This window comes from Homo sapiens, chromosome X, assembly GCF_000001405.40.
Source record: "Homo sapiens chromosome X, GRCh38.p14 Primary Assembly".
Lineage (NCBI taxonomy): Eukaryota > Metazoa > Chordata > Mammalia > Primates > Hominidae > Homo > Homo sapiens.
In genome coordinates, this window is record NC_000023.11 from 6,650,708 (window position 1) to 6,669,237 (window position 18,530).

Here is an 18,530-nt window from a genome sequence, read left to right on the forward strand (position 1 = left end):
TATGCAGCCATAGAAATAGAATTAAATGCCTTTGCAGCAACATGGATGCAGCTGGAGGCCATTATCCTAATCAAATTAATACAGGAACAGAAAACTAAATACCGCATGTTCTCACTTACAAGTGGGAGCTAAACACTGGGTACTCATAGACATAAAGATGGCATCAGTGGACACTGGGGACTACTAAGAGAGGAAGACAGATGAGCAAGGGTTGAAAAATTAACTGTTGGGTACTATGCTCAGTACCTGGGTGATGGGATCATTTGTACTCCAAACCTCAGCATCATGCAGTATACCCAGATAACAAACCTGCACATGTACCCTCTGAATCTTAAATAAAAGTTGAAAAAGAAAAAAAGAAAAAAAAATTGTGAGGGGAAATTGTTAACTCTTGCTATGTTCTGGGAGCTTAGGGCTCAGGTAATGTTCAACATTGTCACCCTGCTACCCATGTGCCATGGTGATGGGCTTGACCTCTACTTCTAATAGAGAGAGAGAAACAGCACATGTACTAGGGAGATCTCTGGTGTTCACATAGCTATATGCACGTTTTATTTTAGGGTGAGAGGGTTTGATTGCATATTTTCATTAATTATAATTTGAAAAATGTCTTTCACTGTTGCAGCTCATTATAGATAACATCATGTAGATTTTCAAGATGGGACCAAACATGGAAACTGCGATCGAGTAGTTCTCATATGCATGAGCTGTTACAAATGCATTGGCCATTTGTAGTCCTACTCCAGCGGATTTTTGCCCAACAAACACAGTGATTCACCAAATTGAATTACGTATTTATCCTTTAATGTATTGTATGATGTAGTATATTTCTGACAGAATAAAACTTCTATTTTATCAGACATTGGTGAGAATTGAATATTCCCCTATAATATTATAAGTCTGAAACTGGAAGAGGGGAGACCTACTGAATAGCTCTGTCTTTACATATTTGAAAGGATATTCCTCCTCCTTTACCCACCTGCTTCCACTGCTGGGCACTGAGGATACATTCATATACTTGTCCCTTCTCACAACGTCAGGTGAATGAGGCAGCAGGTGTATTTCTGACCAAAGGCAATAGGTGTATTTCTGGAAGCCAACCATTATAGGCCAGGAAAGCTAGGAAAATTTAGCATTACAAAGAAGTGACTGTGGGCACTCACATCCAAACTAAATGTATTACCAACTCATCTTCTGTTTTTTGTGATCCACAGAATGCTCTGGTCACCCCAACATGGCCTGGTACATGGTCCAAAATGTCTTGTCAGTCACAAGCTTGGATAGAATCCATCCGTATCACCATCTGAGAAACTAAGAGAGGAGACGTGTATTTCTTCCAGAAGAAGACAGGAAGCTTATCTCAAAACATCAGCCATGGTGGAGTTAAGCTTGAAGGGGGAAAATTAATTCAAAGCAATCCCAGAGAAATGCAGTTCAAAGAAGAAAAGAAAGTTCAAAATAAAGAGAAAGGGGAGAAGAAAAATGTAACACTGTACTCCACCCTCTAGAGGATTCTTCCTTGACGTTGGGCAACTTTATGAAGACGTATGTGAGCACCAGAGGGACAGTGCCTAGAAAAAAGGAAAGTTCCCTCTAGATTATTATATGCAGCTCACAGCTCTGAGGCCATCTCTTGGAAAATACTAAATTTTTCTTTAATAAGTACTGATGCTATGTCTTTTTCCATGACTAATAATGCATTGTGCTTGAAATTGTTAAACTCACAGGAGAGTAAAGTCATCACAGCCATAATAAGATATCAAAATGGATATATTTTAATAACTTTATTTTTTAAAGCAACTTTACATAACTCGTTGATTGAGGGAACTAAGCAGATTGATTGGTTCCAAGGAAAAGCTTTTTGAAAAATCACAAATATATAGATCAGGAAGGCTGAAATGGATATACAAATGGAGTCTTAACTGGTTTCTCTATATGGAATGGGGAAAAAGTCAATCATACCACATAATTCAGCCAATGTGGGACAGAAAAGAATCTGCAAATCTCTAAGAATTATTTTGGCATACTATCTGTTAAATACAATCTACACAGTTATAAAATAATTCAGAAAAAAATCAAAGGCTAAAATCATGTAACTCAGGAGCGTGTGCTCTATGTTGAAAATGCATATTCTTAAGCATTTTTTTTGGCCACTGTATCCCCAGCTAATTGGACACCTCACTGTTTGTGGTTGACTTGTGATAAATCCAACACTATGCTATTTCCATTCTAAATACCGTGTGACTCTAAAGTTAAAGTAATTTATTTGTTGTCAATGACACAGAATGTAAACACACAGATGTGCATTATCTCCATCAAGAAGAAAATCATTGTTTGAAGCACTTAAACACACTGTAAATGGTCAAGCTAGGTTTTCAAGTCTATGCTTGGGATTATTTTTAAAGCCTGCCACAAAGTACAAATAACCTCATTGGTTGCAAATTTATTTTCTTCATCTCTTTTGAGAGAGAAGGACTCAAAATTCCATTGCTGAAGGGGGCTTCCCATGGAAACACTGAGTGGAAATGCAAGCAGCCTCTATGAGCAAAGACCAGCCTCCGGTTGACAGCCAGACAAGGAAATGGGCACTGCAGCCATACAACTGCAAGGGACTAAGTTTGACTAACAACCTGAATGAGCTTTGCTGTGGATCTATTAGGCCTTCCACAAATTAATATATGTTGAAGTCCTAATTCCCCAATGAGACTGTATTTGGAGATCGGGTCTTTGAAAAAGTCTTTTAATTACAGTTAAATTAGGTCATAAGGGTGGGACCCTGTTTCAATAAGGCAGGTGCCTTATAGGAGGAGGAAGAAACACTAGAGTACTCTCTCATGTGTTCCCTCTCTCTCTCTCTCTCTTTCTGCCATGTGAGAACACACCAAGAAGGCACTATTGGCCTGGCACAGTGGCTCACGCCTGTAATCCCAGCACTTTCGGAGGCTGAGGCGGATGGATCAGCTGAGGTCAGGAGTTCAAGACCAGCCTGGCCAACATGGTGAAACCCCATCTCTACTAAAATTACAGAAATTACCCAGGCATGATGGCGAGCACCTGTAATCCCAGCTACTCGGGAGGCTGAGGCAGAGATAATTGCTTAAAACCCAGGAGGTGGAGGTTGCAGTGAGCTGAGATCACAACACTGCACTCCAGCCTGGGCGGTAGAGTGAGATTCCATCTCAAAAAAAAAAAAAAAAAGGCACCATCCACAAACCAGGAAAAGAGTACTCACCAAGAACAGAATCTGCCACTGACTTGACCTTGGACTTCCCAGCCTCCAGAACTGTCAGAAATAAATGTCTATTGTGTAAGAAACTCAGTCTATGGTATTTTGTCACAGCAGCCCAAGCTAACAAGTACAAGCTTGGAAGGAGATTTATCCCCAGCATTTTCTGTAAGGCAGGCAGCCTGACAGACACCTTGATTTCAGCCTTGCAAGCTCTAGAAGAGAGCTCAGAGGACCCCACAAGATTTCTGACGTGTAGTAACTCTAAATAATCAATGTGTATTGTTTTAAGCCTCAATGTTTGTGGTCATATGTTCCAGTATCAAAAGGAAACTAATACGGTTGCCTCCTAAATGTTCTTTCCCACAGTTAAGAAAGCTGAAAACTCCCAAGTGAGTCTCAAATTTTTCTGCACTATGAGCAATGGCTCTCCTTGGAAGAGGTGAGGAAATAGCTCCAGCAGGAACCTGGGGTTGTTGCCCAGTTATAAAGATGTATTATCTTTTCATAAAATATGGTATGAGATGTCCTCCCAGAACTTCTCTCTTATGACAGCTTCCCACTCTATCCATAGCTTCAGCAACCAGTTCCTACTGATAAAAGAAAAACTTCAGCAGAATTAAATTTAAAGGAGTTTAATTGAGCAATGAACAATTTGTGAATAAGTTAGCCCTCACAATCACAGCAGATTCAGAAAGACTCCAGCGTAGCTACGTGGTGGAAGAAGATTTAGAAACAAACAAAAAAAGGAAATGACGTACAGAAATTAATTGGAAGTGAGGTACAGAACGGCTGGATCGGTTACAGCTCGGCATATGCCTTATTTGAACACAGTTTGAACACTCAGCGGTGTATGAATGGTTGAAGTATGGCCACTGGGATTGGTCAAGACTTAGCTATTGTTACGGGTGCATACTACTAAGTTAGATTTTCAATTTTATCTGCCTATTAAGCTAGGTTACAGTTGATCCACAAGGACTCAAATATAATCACGGAGTCCTTCTGAGGCCATATTTAGTTTGCCTTAACACTGTATAGCTCCACACAGGTGCACTTGGCCAGGTGTGTTTTGCCAAATCAATGATACATTCCTTTTGTCTCCCACACAGTGGCTTCTCCGTGAATACCTTAGGAAATGTCCCAGAGCTCCATCATGGGCAGGAAGTAATCATGGAGGGAACTTCTCACTCTTGGGAGAAAGAAATGGATTGATCTATGTGTCTCATTTTTTCCTCCTCCTCTTTCCTTGGATAGACTATCCTGAGATGGCTGTCACTTGACTTTTCAGGTGGCCACCAGCTGCTCTTGCAGGTGACCAATGTATTCTTGCCATGGCTAGGTCTTCTCTAATTCACTGCCCCAGCCCTCTTGCTGCCTGGGATGGCATGACCAAGGGAAGCACTGTCCTCTAAGCCACTGGCCCTGGCTCTGCTCTCAGGAGAAAGCAGGTGAAGATGGGCAGCCCTCAGCCTTTGCATTCTAGTCTACAATGTATTTGAGTTTGTGTTGATGATGTTGAACTGTACCCAAGCCCTGTGATCCTGGAAACAGCAACAGTTAAAGAATTTCTCCCACATTTTGAGTTCTGGAAAATGGATTACTGCAAAGAACTATCCTTACCCATATGACTTAGATAATACTCATGAATGTTCCCCCAGTTTACATAGGAAAAGACCAGACCCAGACCCTCCAAGTTTCCATTCTTTGCATCACAATTGATAACTGACGAGGTGAACCTCTTGTCCCCACTAATCAATGGGAACAAAATGCTTGTGAACCAAACATTGGGTCAGTTCTTCTTCTCCCCAGGACCTCGGACTTTAGCTCACCCTCAACATACGCCAACAGAACACCCCTCCTTTAGGGCCTCTTCTGAAAACAGCCTGCTCTTGGGGTAAACCATTCTCTGAACTACTGTCCTATAATATCACCCTTTATCCAACTTCCCCTCTCCTGTTTTTCTCTAGCCTCATTTCCTCTTGCCCATAAAAGAAAAACCCTCTCTGCCTAACTCTTCAGACACTTGCAGACCTATAGTCAGAGCATTCTTGCTATTGCAATAATTCATATTTCCCAATTAAAATAATAGGTGAACAGTCCTCCTCAACCCTTGCAATAATTATTTCAAAGAAGTCTTTTCTTACTTAGTCCAGATTTGTTTTTTCATTGACACTATTAATATAAAAGTAATTATTCTATCCCCTATTCCCTATGCCTCCAGAGACTTTTTTTTCCTTTTTCTTAAGATATGGAGTCTCACTCAGTCACCCACGCTGGAGTGCGGAGTGCAGTGGCACCATCATAGCTCACTGCAGCCTCAACCTCCTGGGCTCAAGTGACCCTCTCGCCTCAGACTCCAGGGTAGCTGGGACTATAGGCATGCACCACCACGTGCAACTAATTCTTTTTTATTATTTGTAGAGACAAGGTCCCACCATGTTGCTCAGGCTAGTCTCAAACTCTTGGGTTCAAGAGATCCTCCCACTTCAGCCTCCCAAAGTGCTGGGATTTCAGGTGTGAGACACCACACCTGGCCTGATTATATACTTTTGAACCATATTCATAAGTAATATTTCCCCCCAAAATTGGAGGCCTGCATAGGGTTACCAGTAAAACAAAAAATTAAAGGGTACCAAGTAATTACTGTAATTCATAGCATAAAGGATGTGGAGGGCAAAATTGTGTGCTTCTGCAGAAAACTGCTCGTTGTTTCTATCACACCCCTACTGGTATTGGATTCTGATTCTATAAAGCTCTGTGCCACCCATCGTCTTTGAGTTATTTTACAACTCTGTACGTTGCAAATAGCCAAGGGTAATGCAAAATAATTCTTGTCTCTAGACATGCAAATTTACTCCTGTGGAAGTGCAAATGACTCCCACCACCCACAAAAATAAAAGTCTGTTTTGCCTCTATTTGCACATACATATTGATATTTTTAAACCTATAAATATGATTGTTCCTTGGATTGTTTTTTAAATGTGTTATAAGACCTTCCTGGTGGTTCGCACACCAATAATGAGTTAAATAACATCTTTAACACTGGTTTATTTTTAGCTATCTGAGAGTCATAATTTTTCCTTCTTTGGAAATTATCCTTTAAAAGATATTTTTCATGGAGTGGACTTAGTTTTAGGAAAGGAAAAACTTCCCAGGGAAGAAATATTGACAAACTTACACCTATCTATTTTCCCCTAGATATGTATTTGAAATTTTCATGGAGAAAACAATTACAAGATAAAACTCTGTTCTATGATATTGCACTCTTCTATGAAGTTTGTCAGTTTCCTGACCTTCTTTGCTTTCTTCCAATGCAAACTGGAAATGGAGCTTGAATGTCAAGCTTGTTATAAATCTTTTAAAAAATTGATAATGCTTGTCATCCAAACAGTTTTTGTTTTTGTTCTTGACTCTCAGTCCTTCCTTGCTGTAATAAGAATATTCTGAGAAATGAGGCCTCTGGCTTTCTTCTCTCTTTCCTTTAAAGAATCTTGCTATAGTTTGGATGTTTGACCCCTCCAAATCTCATATTGAAATTTGATCCCGTAGTGGGAGGTGTTTGGGTCATGGGGGCAGATCCTTCATGAATGTCTGGGTGTCATCCTCACAATAATAAGTGAGTTCTCACTTTATTAGTTCCTCAGAGGTTGTTAAAAAGAGCCTGGCACCTCCTCCTCTCTCTCTTGCTTCCTCTCTCTCCATGTGGTCTCTGCACATGCCAGCTCCCTTCCCCTTCCATCCTGAGTGGAAGCAGCCTGAAGCCCTCACCAGATGCAGACGCTGGTGCCATGCTTCCTGTACAGCCTGCAAAACCATGAACAAATTAATTTCTTTTCTCTATAGATTGCCCAGCCTCAGCTATTCTTTTATAGCCACACTAAACAGACTAAGACTAACCCAGTAAGAAATTTGGCAATGGCTTGCTGGATGCAATAAGGAAAGGGGTTTGCAGATAGAGGAAAACCTTGCCTGTATAAAGGACACCAGTTAGGAACTGATCTGAAGGAAGTGTCAAAACATGAAGAGAACACCTCAACAGTGAGCACTAGCCTGTTTAATGACATTTGGGAGCCATAGCCTTATACTCCTAACTTTTACTGGAGGACAAGCTATAATTCAATGGAGGTCTTCATTTTCTTCTTTATTCCTTCCTACTCTGCAACAATTACTCAAGATGATTCTTGTATTGTTGGTGAAGCTGTCTTTTGTATGCAATCGTTTGCACATTTGTCCATTGTATTAATCAGCTCTCATGCTAATAATATAGACATACTCAAGACTGGGTAATTTATAAAGAAAATGAGGTTTAATGGACTCACAGTTCCACATGGCTGGGGAGGCCTCACAATCATGGCGAAAGGCAAAGGAAGGGAAAGGCACATTTTACATGGCGGCAGGCAAGAGAGCATGTGCAGGGGAACTCCCCCTTAGAAAACCATCAGATCTTGTGAGACTTATTCACTAGCATGAGAACAGCATGGGAAAGATCTGCCCCCATAATTCAAGTACTTCCCACCAGGTGCCTCCCAGGACATGTGGGTATTATGGGAGGCACAATTCAAGATGAGATTTGGATGGGGACACAGCCAAACCATATCATCCATTAATTGGATGGTTATTACCAGATTAACAACAGAATATGTAACACATTATTTTTCAATAATGACATTCAGTGAGATCATCTTTCCTTTCTTCAGACTGAATGAATGCTGTCTTCTGTGCACTTCTTCTAAATACTCTAAATGATCCATTTTCCCAGTAAGGAACTACAAGCTAACTGTATTCATTTTCTAATGCTTCGTAACAAATCGCTACAAACTTGGAGGCTTCAAATGATATATGTTTATTTCCTTGGAGTTCCCTTAAGCCAAGTGTCCATGCATGGCATAGGTGGGTCTTTGGCTGGCTTTTGAAGGCTGCAGTGATCATCTCATGTGGAGCCCAGGTCTTCTTTCCAACTCAGGGCTGTTGGTTGAATTTATTTTCTTATGTTGCAGAATGCATGATGACTAAAGGGATCTGCTGTTTCAGATCTCTTGCTCCTAGACTTTCTCTTAAAAGGCTCATCAAATTAGTGAGGTCTCCCAAATATAATCTCCTTAACTCAAATTCAACTGATTAGGAAACTTAATCACAGGTACAAAATGACATCTACAAAAATCCCCATAGTTATGCTAAATATTATAACCTAGTCTCTGTCTTGACATCAATCACAGTGAAAGGCCCTGACTATACTCAAAGGTTGGGATTATACAGGACATGTAGTCTAGTGGGTGGGAATCTTAGAGGCTGTGTGATAATTCTGCCCCTCACACTTAGCATAGAACCAGATATTCTCTTATAAATTCTGTGCCATGCTGTAAAATGACACAGCAAGTCAGTTTTGTCTATGACTTAAGCAATGTCAATTTTATTTCAAAGGTCATCTTTCTTTTCAAAAGACTTAATTAACCTGCATATACCTCTAATGAGAGATTTTGCTGGTGTTTGAGAAATGGGGTTTATGCAAGAACTGTGTTCCTCTATCCATTTTTTAAAAAACTTCTGCTAGTAGCTGATTTGATTTAGACTCTGAATTTCAGAGTCAGGTCAGTCATGCAGATTCAGGAGAGAGCTACCACATAATTCTCAGGGTTGGGAATTGTACTTGTTCAAAATGGCAAAATAAAAGAACATCATGCACAGTTCAGATTTATTGCTGACTCTTAACCATGCATACAGAATGTTGAGTGAAGTTCAGGCGCTAAGTAGGACTCACGACTTAGGATGGAAACCAATAGATTATAGATTGTGGAACTTGAGATCTAGAAAGGACCATAAACATTTTTTCTCAAATATCTTTATTCTAAGAGCTGAAAGCCCTGACACATTAGAGGCTTCCTACAGGTTGCAGAGGCAGTGGATTCACACAGAAGAATAACCTAGGTGTCAGAGTCCCAGCCCCCTACATACTCCAATTTGATTCTGTCTACTGTTGTTTGTGGGTGACAACCCCCTACACGCTGTTGACGTCTTGACAGCCAAGAAGTGCTAAGTCACAATGTTGGAAACCAAAGAGAAAACATAATCCTATCTGTCCGTACAACTATAATGTATCTTCACTTGTAATTCCCAGAGCACAATGCTGGCCTTCGAGCCTCAGGACAGACAGGAAATTAACTGAAAAACAACTCAAAGTGAAAATATCAACAGATGCACACAAACTTAAAAGAACATTCAGATAAACCAATTAACATCCAAAGGGTTGAGGTGGAAGGAAGGTGAGTGGGAGGTATGATGAGAATAAACTGAAAAAGGTCAGGGTCTCTCTGTTCTAGAAAAAAAACGGGAAAGAGAAGAATGTTGGAATGATGATTCTGTTCTATAAAGTCAGTCCAGGTTGAGCACGGTGGCTCACACCTGTAATCCCAAAACTTTGGGAGGCCAAGGTGGGAGGATAACTTGAACCCAGGAGTTCCAGACCAGCCTGGGCAACATAGGGATGTCCCATCTCTACAATAATAATAATAATACTAGCTGAGCATGGTGGAGCATGCTTGTGGTCCCAGCTACTCAGGAGGCTGAGGCAGGAGGATTGCTGGAGCTCCGGAGGTCGAGGCTGCAGTGCACCATGATCTCATGATTGCACTCCAGCCTGGGTGACAGAGTGAAATCCTTTGTCAAAAAAATACAAAATAAAAAACAAATTTTAAAATTAAAAAATATAAAGTCAGTCCTGCCCTAACATCAGCTCTAGGTACATCTGATTCTGCACCTGGGTTCAGCTTCAGGTGAACTTGCAACATGATCTCTTCATGGCTGTGTTTCAGCTTGTCATGGAAATTCTGAGTCACTAAGCCCAAATTCCTGCCCCACCTTCCACCATCTTATATCCCAGGTTAATAACAAAAGTCTTGCCTTGCTCTCCATGTCTAAAATCTTTTCTTGCCAACCTATCGAGTTCTCCTGTTTCTTCAAGATTTGGGCCTTACTTTCTTCTTGTTGATTTTTACCTTGACCAAAGTCTTTCTAAAGCAAACTGAAATGTACATCAGAAGCCTCTGGAGGACTTGTTATTAATAAAACACTGATTGCAGGGCCCCACCTCAGAGTTCCTGATTCAGGAGGTCTGGCATGCAGGGGTGGGGTTGAAGTGAGAATTTGCAATTCTATTTTTGTTAAGAGATAGGATCTTGCTCTGTCACCCAGGCTGGAGTGTAGTGGTGCAATCACAGCTCACTGCAGCCTTGAACTCCTGGGCTCGAAGGACCCTGCTACCTCAGCCCCCTGGGTAGCTGGGACTACTATGCCTGCCTGGAGAATTCACACTTCTAACAAGCTTCCTGTAGATACTGCTGCAGCTGGTCTGGGCACCACACTGAATCTGAAGACTAAAGTAGCAACATTATTTTTTTCCTATACTATCTGCTTCCAGCACCACCATTGCCAAACTCAACCTATGTGGCTAAACTTCTTCAAGTGATCTACAGCTGGTCACCACTATAGTCCTATTATATGCCTTCCCCAAGTGCTGTAAGGTAGGCATTACTATCCTTGTTCAACGTGGAAACTGAGCTTAGACTTGGAGAGTAACTTGCTCTTTGCACAGAGATTTTAAAAGGCCAAGTTAGGAAGCCAATCCAGTATCTCCTGGCTTCTGTGTCTTATTATTTCTCACCATATTGCTGCACCAAAGGTTAACCATCTTCTTTCTGAAATCTGGATTTTGACAAATGCTAGTTTCCTTTCCTTCTTCCATCTCTTTCTGATGCTTTTGAAAGGACCAGCTTATAAACAGTCCATGAGGAGGGAAGAACAACATGGACTGAAGGTCAACAATTTGGAAAGCAGAAAGTTCAGCTGTTCCTCACCTGGCCAAGACATGCTGCCTGTTTTTGGCCGGATTTTCTTCTCCCCACCTTGTCACGACTCTAATGCTTTGTTTTCTGATGTCAGTGAGCACCTGTCCTTGTGAGATGGAAAAGTGCAGTTGAGAGAATGATCCAATTTTGCAGCTTTCTCTGATTGGCAAATTGAGTTACACAGAGGTTAATTAGCTTTCCTAATATCTCAAGTTGGCCACGGTATTGAAATTAGCAAGGCGGAGTGAGTAATTGACAGCCCTGTGCTGTGATGGCTCACCAATTGTCCTCTATAGAAGAGATCATTGACATTTTCCAGGTTGCTCTTAAACTCATTATCTGCAAACATTAAAATGGACCCTGTAAACTTATTATAGATTTTGATAAATATATTCATTTACAGAAAATCAACAGGCAAACCATCTCAAGTTAATTAGGTCAATGACAGTTTAGAACCTTGAATTCATAGCAGCAGTGCTCTCTAAATATGTAAGTGCATAAACAAAGGCTGGCTTGAAATGAGGAAAAGAATAGAAAGGAACAATGTGTATCTCATTGGGAGGGTGTTCTGGAACTCTGTGAATGAGGTAATGCATAGGCCAATGTAGCAATCCTTACCCAAACTCCCGAACCATCCACTCAAAAATACAAAAAATGAAAAAAGAATTTCAAACTGGTTGATTCTCCTAAAATGAATAAGAGGGAAAAATGACCAGAGAGAGAAACTGAAAATGGTCTTTTTAAACTTAATTTTATCCTTCTGGAAACTGGACCTAGCTGGAAAAGGTCACACAAACCACATATCTCATTCAACAAAATGCGGCACTTTGCCATTTTCCAATGCCCTGCTGTGGGTATTTTTCCCCCTGAATGAACCCAATAAGTTGTTCGAGCAAAATGTCCTATCTAAGTAGGGTAGCACATCTGTTTCAATTTCCTACATTTGATCTATTTTAGCAGTATCCTCATTGTGTCATGAGAGCTAACTGAGCTATCGAAGCCTAATAAAAATGTTACCCAACTATCTTGCATTAAAAAACTAAAAACTTCAGAATCTATTTATCTTTTGGTTTAACGTTTATCATAGCTTCTCTCTCTCCATATACATATAGTAATATATACAGTAACATATGCTATATTACTATAAAATATAATTTGTATAAAATAGTATATTACTATATAACATATAGTAATATATTACTGTACTACTGGTAATATAATGTATATAATATTTATATTTATAAAGTAGAAATATTTATATATAATTCATATTTGTATAAAATATTTTTACATAGTGTGTGTATACACAGTATATTTAACACACACTATACATATTATATACATTATATACATATACACTATATATACACACATTTAAACATATACACTGTATTACATTACATATGTAATACTTACATTATATATAATACATATATAATGTAATATAATTGATCTTATTATATATATAATGTAGATAGAAAAGAGTAAGAAAAAAGAGTGAAGTTGTTTTTTAATGCAAGATATTTGGGTAATATTTTTATTAGACTTTGATAGCACAGTGGACTTCTCACATGTATGTGATATTTATATATATGTATATGCACACATACATATATATGCACACACACATATATATGTATCTTATGTCCAGTAAAGAACATGTTTCTTGAGATTAGTGTTTGTATCACACTTAAGTTTCGTATTCTATTTCTTCCTTTTCAGAAAGTAAGACTTGATCACAATTATTTTATCCTAAGCACCTTAATACATTATTTGAAAATCAGAGGTATTTAATAGAATTTGTTGAATGAATGAATGATTTAATAGCCCTATTGAGTTATTAATTGCGGTATTTTCCTCTGTCTCCATAAACAAAGTTATCTTTATATGGAAATTGGTAGTTTACTGAGGATTTTTCAGGTTTTGCAAGTACTGATTTTTGGGATTTGGGGGTACTGAAAGTCTGGCATCCTGGGAGAGACCCAGTTTTGGACAGACCAGGAATGGTTAGTCACCCTGTTTGGAGAGATTATACTTTCACTTCTTTTTGCATTCTTTATTGTCAATTCTTGCTAGTGTGTTGCTCCCTATGTAACTTAATCCTTCCATCTTTACATGTTTCCAATTTGTCCCACTTCAGAAATGAGCCATATGTTTCTCTAACTGAACAAAAGCCACCACTAATGGCCCAGTGTCTAAGCTATTTCTCCACAGCCTCCTTTAAAGAACTGTGTGTTAGTTAATTCAAGGAACAAGGGGAGGAGAAGATAGACTACCCCAGTCCTCACTGACAGATAAAAGTTTACATTAAAGCATTAAACAGACCGATAGTTATTGGGTACCTATGGGGGGAAACTGCCCCCGATAGTCACATAAGTTCTTTTCTATTTTCCCTAAGAGTCAGCCAGTCTGAGAAATAAAGGGACAGAGTACTAAAGAGAGAAATTTTAAAGCTGGGTGTCCAGGGGAGATACCACATGTCAGCAGGTTCCGTGATGCCCCCTGAGCCGTAAAACCAGCAAGTTTTTATTAGTGATTTTCAAAAGGGGAGGGAGTGTACGAATAGGGTGTGGGTCACAGAGATCACGTGCTTCACAAGGTAATAGAATATCACAAGGCAAATGGAGGCAGGGCGAGATAACAGGACCACAGGACGGGGCGAAATTAAAATTGCTAATGAAGTTTCGGGCATGCATTGTCATTGATAACATCTTATCAGCAGACAGGGTTTGAGAGCAGACAACCGGTCTGACCAAAATTTATTAGGCGGGAATTTCCTCGTCCTAATAAGCCTGGGAGCGCTATGGGAGACTGGGGCTTATTTCATCCCTACAGCTTCGACCATAAAAGACGGCCGCCCCCGAAGTGGCCATTTCAGAGGCCTACCCTCAGGGATGCATTCTCTTTTTCAGGGATGTTCCTTGCTGAGAAAAAGAATTCAGTGATATTTCTCCCATTTGCTTTTGAAAGAAGAGAAATGTGGCTCTGTTCCACCTGGCTCACCAGCGGTCAGAATTTAAGGTTATCTCTCTTGTTCCCTGAACATTGCTGCTATCCTGTTCTTTTTTCAAGGTGCCCAGATTTCATATTGTTCAAACACACATGCTCTACAATTTGTGCAGTTAACGCAATCATCACAGGGTCCTGAGGCAGCAGATATCCTCCTCAGCTTACAAAGGTGATGGAATTAAGAGATTAAAGTAAAGACAGGCATAGGAAATCACAAGGGTATTGATTGGGGAAGTGATAAGTGTCCATGAAATCTTCACAATTTATGTTCAGAGATTGCAGTAAAGACAGGCGTAAAAAAATATAAAAGTATTAATTTGGGGAACTAATAAATGTCCATGAAATCTTCACAATTTATGTTCTTCTGCGTGGCTTCAGCCGGCCCCTCCATTCGGGGTTCCTGACTTCCCACCACAGGTACCCTAAGGTATTTCATCTTCCTAAGTTTTTTTTTAATTTAATTTAAAAAAAATTTTTTTAAATAGAGACAGGATCTCACTATATTGCACAGGCTGGTCTCGAACTCCTGGACTCAATTGATCCTACTGCCTCAGCCTCCCAAAGTGTTGGGATTACAGGTGGGAGCCACCATGCCGCCCAGCCACTTTTCATTTTAAACTTGTCATGTAACATCCTCTCTGAAGATGTACATGCCTAGTGATAGATCCTAAGAAAGATTCCGTATAGGTCTCCTGATGCTGTTACAAATTCCCACAAATTCAATGGCTTAGAACAACACTAACTTATTATTTTACAGTTTTGGAGGTCAGAAGTCAGGAGTGGGTCTCAATGGGTTAGAATTGAGGTCTCAGCAGGGCTGTGCTCCTGCTGAAGGCTCTAGGGGAGATTTTGTCTCCATGTCTTTTCCAGCTTCTAGAGGCCACTTGTGTTTCTTGGTTTGTGGTCCTTTCTTCAATTGTTTAAAGGCAGCAGTGTAGTGTTTCAAATTACTCTTTGCTTCCATCATCACACCTTTTTCTCAGACCCCCTTACCTTCTTATAGGGACTCTGAGGCTGAATGCAGTGGCTCATGCCTGTAATCCCAGTGCTTTGGGAGGCTGACTTGGAGAATTCCTTGAGTCCAGGAGTTCGAGACCAGCCTGGATAACACAGTAAGACCCAGTCTCTACAATTTTTTTTAATTAGTTGGGCATGATGGCACTCACCTGTAGTCCTAGCTACTTGGGAGGCTGACACAGGAGGATCACTTGATTCCAAGAGTTTAAGGCTGAAGTGAGCTGTGATCTCACCACTGCACTTCAGCCTGGGTGACAGAGCAAGACTCTATTTAAACAATTTTTTAAAAAGTGTAGAGGCAAATCCTGACCAAGGTCTAACTCTGCTGTGCATACTTTACTTGATCAGATGATGCTTTGCCACCCAACAAGAGTGTTGGATTCTGCAATGAGCAAAACACTGAACCATTTGGACTCAGTCTTGGTTAAATGAAGGGCCAGGGGAATCTATGGTCAGTCAAATAGTGCCCCCCCAAAATGTCTACATCCCAATCCTAGATGGTGTGAACATGTGACATAACCTGGCAAAAAGGACTATGCAGATGTGATTAAGAATCTTGGGATATGGAGATAATCCTGGATTATCTGGTGCTGATGTACTCACAAGAGTTCTTTTGTTGTTGTTTTGTTTTGTTTTGTTTTTTGAGACAGGGTCTCACTCTGTCACCCAGGCTGGAGTACAGTTGCACAACCACGGCTCATTGCATCTTCAAACTCCCATGCTCAAGCCATCCTCCCCCCTCAGCATCCCAAGTACCTGGGACTACAGGCATCTGTCACCATACTCAGCTAATTTTTTATTTTTTGCAGAGATGGGGTCTTGCTATGTTGCGCAGGCTTGCTTCTACTCTTAAAACAGACCCATCTCCTTCAAGGCTCCTCTATCAAAGACAACACTCATTCTTAACTGACTCTTTAGCTCCTCAGGCTAAGTCATCAGAAGAAGGAACCCACTGCTTTGTTGTCCCAAATGCCTCATCTTGCTGGGTGAACATTAAAAGAAACATTTACCAATGACCAAAACGTGTTGTGTAATCAAAAGAGTGCACACCCAAACTGAGCATTTTGGCATCCTTTCTGATTTTTGCTTAGCTATTTTCCCAGAATGAGATGCTATTTACATATCTCTAACTCATCTTAAGGCACTTTTTTCTGATGTTGCTAAAGAAAAGAAGAAATTCCCAAATATCAGCCAAAGACTGCAAATATTAGCATACAGCTGATATTCAACTGTTTTTGACCTATAAACCAAAGTGGCAATTTCTTGTAGTTCAATCTAGAAATAATTCATTAACTGAGAACTCACTGCATGTTTATGTTTTCTTTCCTTATTAGAATGGGAATTGAAAGAGATGAGAGATGGAGATTTTGGTTTCATTGTCTGAAGTGCTTTGTATTGAATTCAGGAAGTAATGGTTCATTGATTCGCTGACTCACTCATTCTGTGAGGATTTATGGATATTCATTGTGGGTCCACAAATGTACTGTATTGTTTGGCTACAAAACAGAAGGAAGCAGTTTGTGCCTTAAGGGAAAATTTGATGTGGACTGGTTCTAGCATGTTCTAGAAGAGGTGGTAAAATCAGAAAACTTAGCACAGCATCTGTATTGGTCTGTTCTCACACTGCTAATAAAGACGTTATCTGAGACTGGGTAACTTATAAAGGAAAGAGGTTTAATTAACTCACGGTTCAGATGGCTGAGGAGGCCTCAGGAAACTTGCATTCATGGCGGAAGGGGAAGCAAGCATATCCTTTTTCACATGGCAGCAGAAAGGAGAAGTGCTGAACAACAGGGTGAAAAACCCCTTATAAAACCATGAGAGCTCATGAGAACTCACTCACTATCATGAGAACAGCAGCATGAGGGTAACCGTCCCCATGATTCAATTATCTCCCATTGGGTTCCTCCCAGGATACATGGGGATTATGGGAATTCAAGATGAGATTTGGGTGGAGACACAGCCAAACCATATCAGCACCATTCTTCACTACTTTGCCATTTGTGTTGTGATGTTTTTACTACAGTCTCATAGTATTTTAAAGAGCCCATAGAACACATTGCCCAGTGTTTATTCATTTTTAAAAAATTTTTAGTTAAGGATTGGAAGGCTAGTACAGCATGAAGAAGTCAGGCTGGATATAAAGAAGAATGTCCTAACTATAAAGCATGCTGTCCCCAAAAGAAGCAATAGACGTTCATTTTCCAGGAAAGGGTTAATCTCTACGTGTATTCTCATAAAGTACACACAGGTGACAATGACATCTCAAGGTTTATTTGTTGAGTCCTGTGATTCTCCTCCAATGCATCACATTTTTATTCCCCTGTCCCTGTGGGGAAAAATAAAGATACGGAATAAAGCACTTTTACAACTTTCATTAACTTTACACAGAAGGACGAGATCATGTATTTGGAAGGTGAACTTGGGATTTGTAAGATGATGAGTATATTTAGTAGCATCATAAAGAATAATGACCTGCTATGGAAAATGGTTAAGCAACGGCATAATGTCTCCAACTCTTTATTTTCTGGGAGAAAAAAAAAAAGCTCTAATAATGATTATTATATTTTATAATGGGATTTAGTGGTTGTCTGTGTTTAGATTTTCTGGGATTAGTGCTCGGTGCCATAATTGTAATTTCTTCTGATTGCAGACTGCTTTGCAGTCTCCAACCACTCAGTTTCTTCTGAGCACCAGCCTCTGTGTTCTTTCCAGTCTGATTTGAAGGCAATGAAGCAATCTATATTTAGGCATTTTGCAGAGGTTTTTATTTTTGGCTAAATGTTAAGTATACATTTTCCTGTAGTAAATGCTGCTAACAGCAAAGGAGTAAAATGGATTTTCAGGAGAAAGTATTTGAAATCTGACTTGCCTTTAATCAGTATCATCTCATCTCTGTAGCGCAAAGCCCTTTAAATGCAGATAAAGAAGAAATTAGAAGATGGACTACATTTGCTAAAGTCTATCCAAATGCCAGCAAACATTTGATGTGGAGTACAGTAAATAACTTAAAAGATTCCTCCATTTAGACTCTAAGCAGTAGAAAGTTTGGTACAGATACGGGCTACCTTGGGAGCACAAACAACTCAACATCCTAACATACTGAATGTCTGGCCCTCATAGGTCAGGCATATGGAATGCATACTTGCCTAAATCAAACCCCTGGTCCTACTTTATGTCCTTATTCTAGTTCTCTCCTTTCCATTCTTACCTGAGTTTAGTGTTTGGTTTGTTCATATTTTACTCATTTATTATTCATTTTCTATATTTATTTTATATGTCTTTCTACACCACTTTTTCCTTTGTGGAAAAAGATAGAGGACAGATGGATGGATGAGAGGATGGGTGGATAGATGGATGAATTAGTGGATGAGTGGTGAATGGGTAGATGAATGGATAGATTGATGATGGATGGATGTATGAATGGAAAGATGGAT

General features: G+C 39.9%; 1 annotated feature.

Moving 5' to 3' along the window:
• Positions 13,442 to 14,254: an enhancer, noted in NCBI's record as "OCT4-NANOG hESC enhancer chrX:6582190-6583002 (GRCh37/hg19 assembly coordinates)". NCBI's record gives its function as "activates a minimal SCP1, AML or CMV promoter by ChIP-STARR-seq in primed H9 embryonic stem cells {active_cell/tissue: H9 hESC(primed)}" and the evidence as "EXISTENCE:reporter gene assay evidence [ECO:0000049][PMID:30033119]".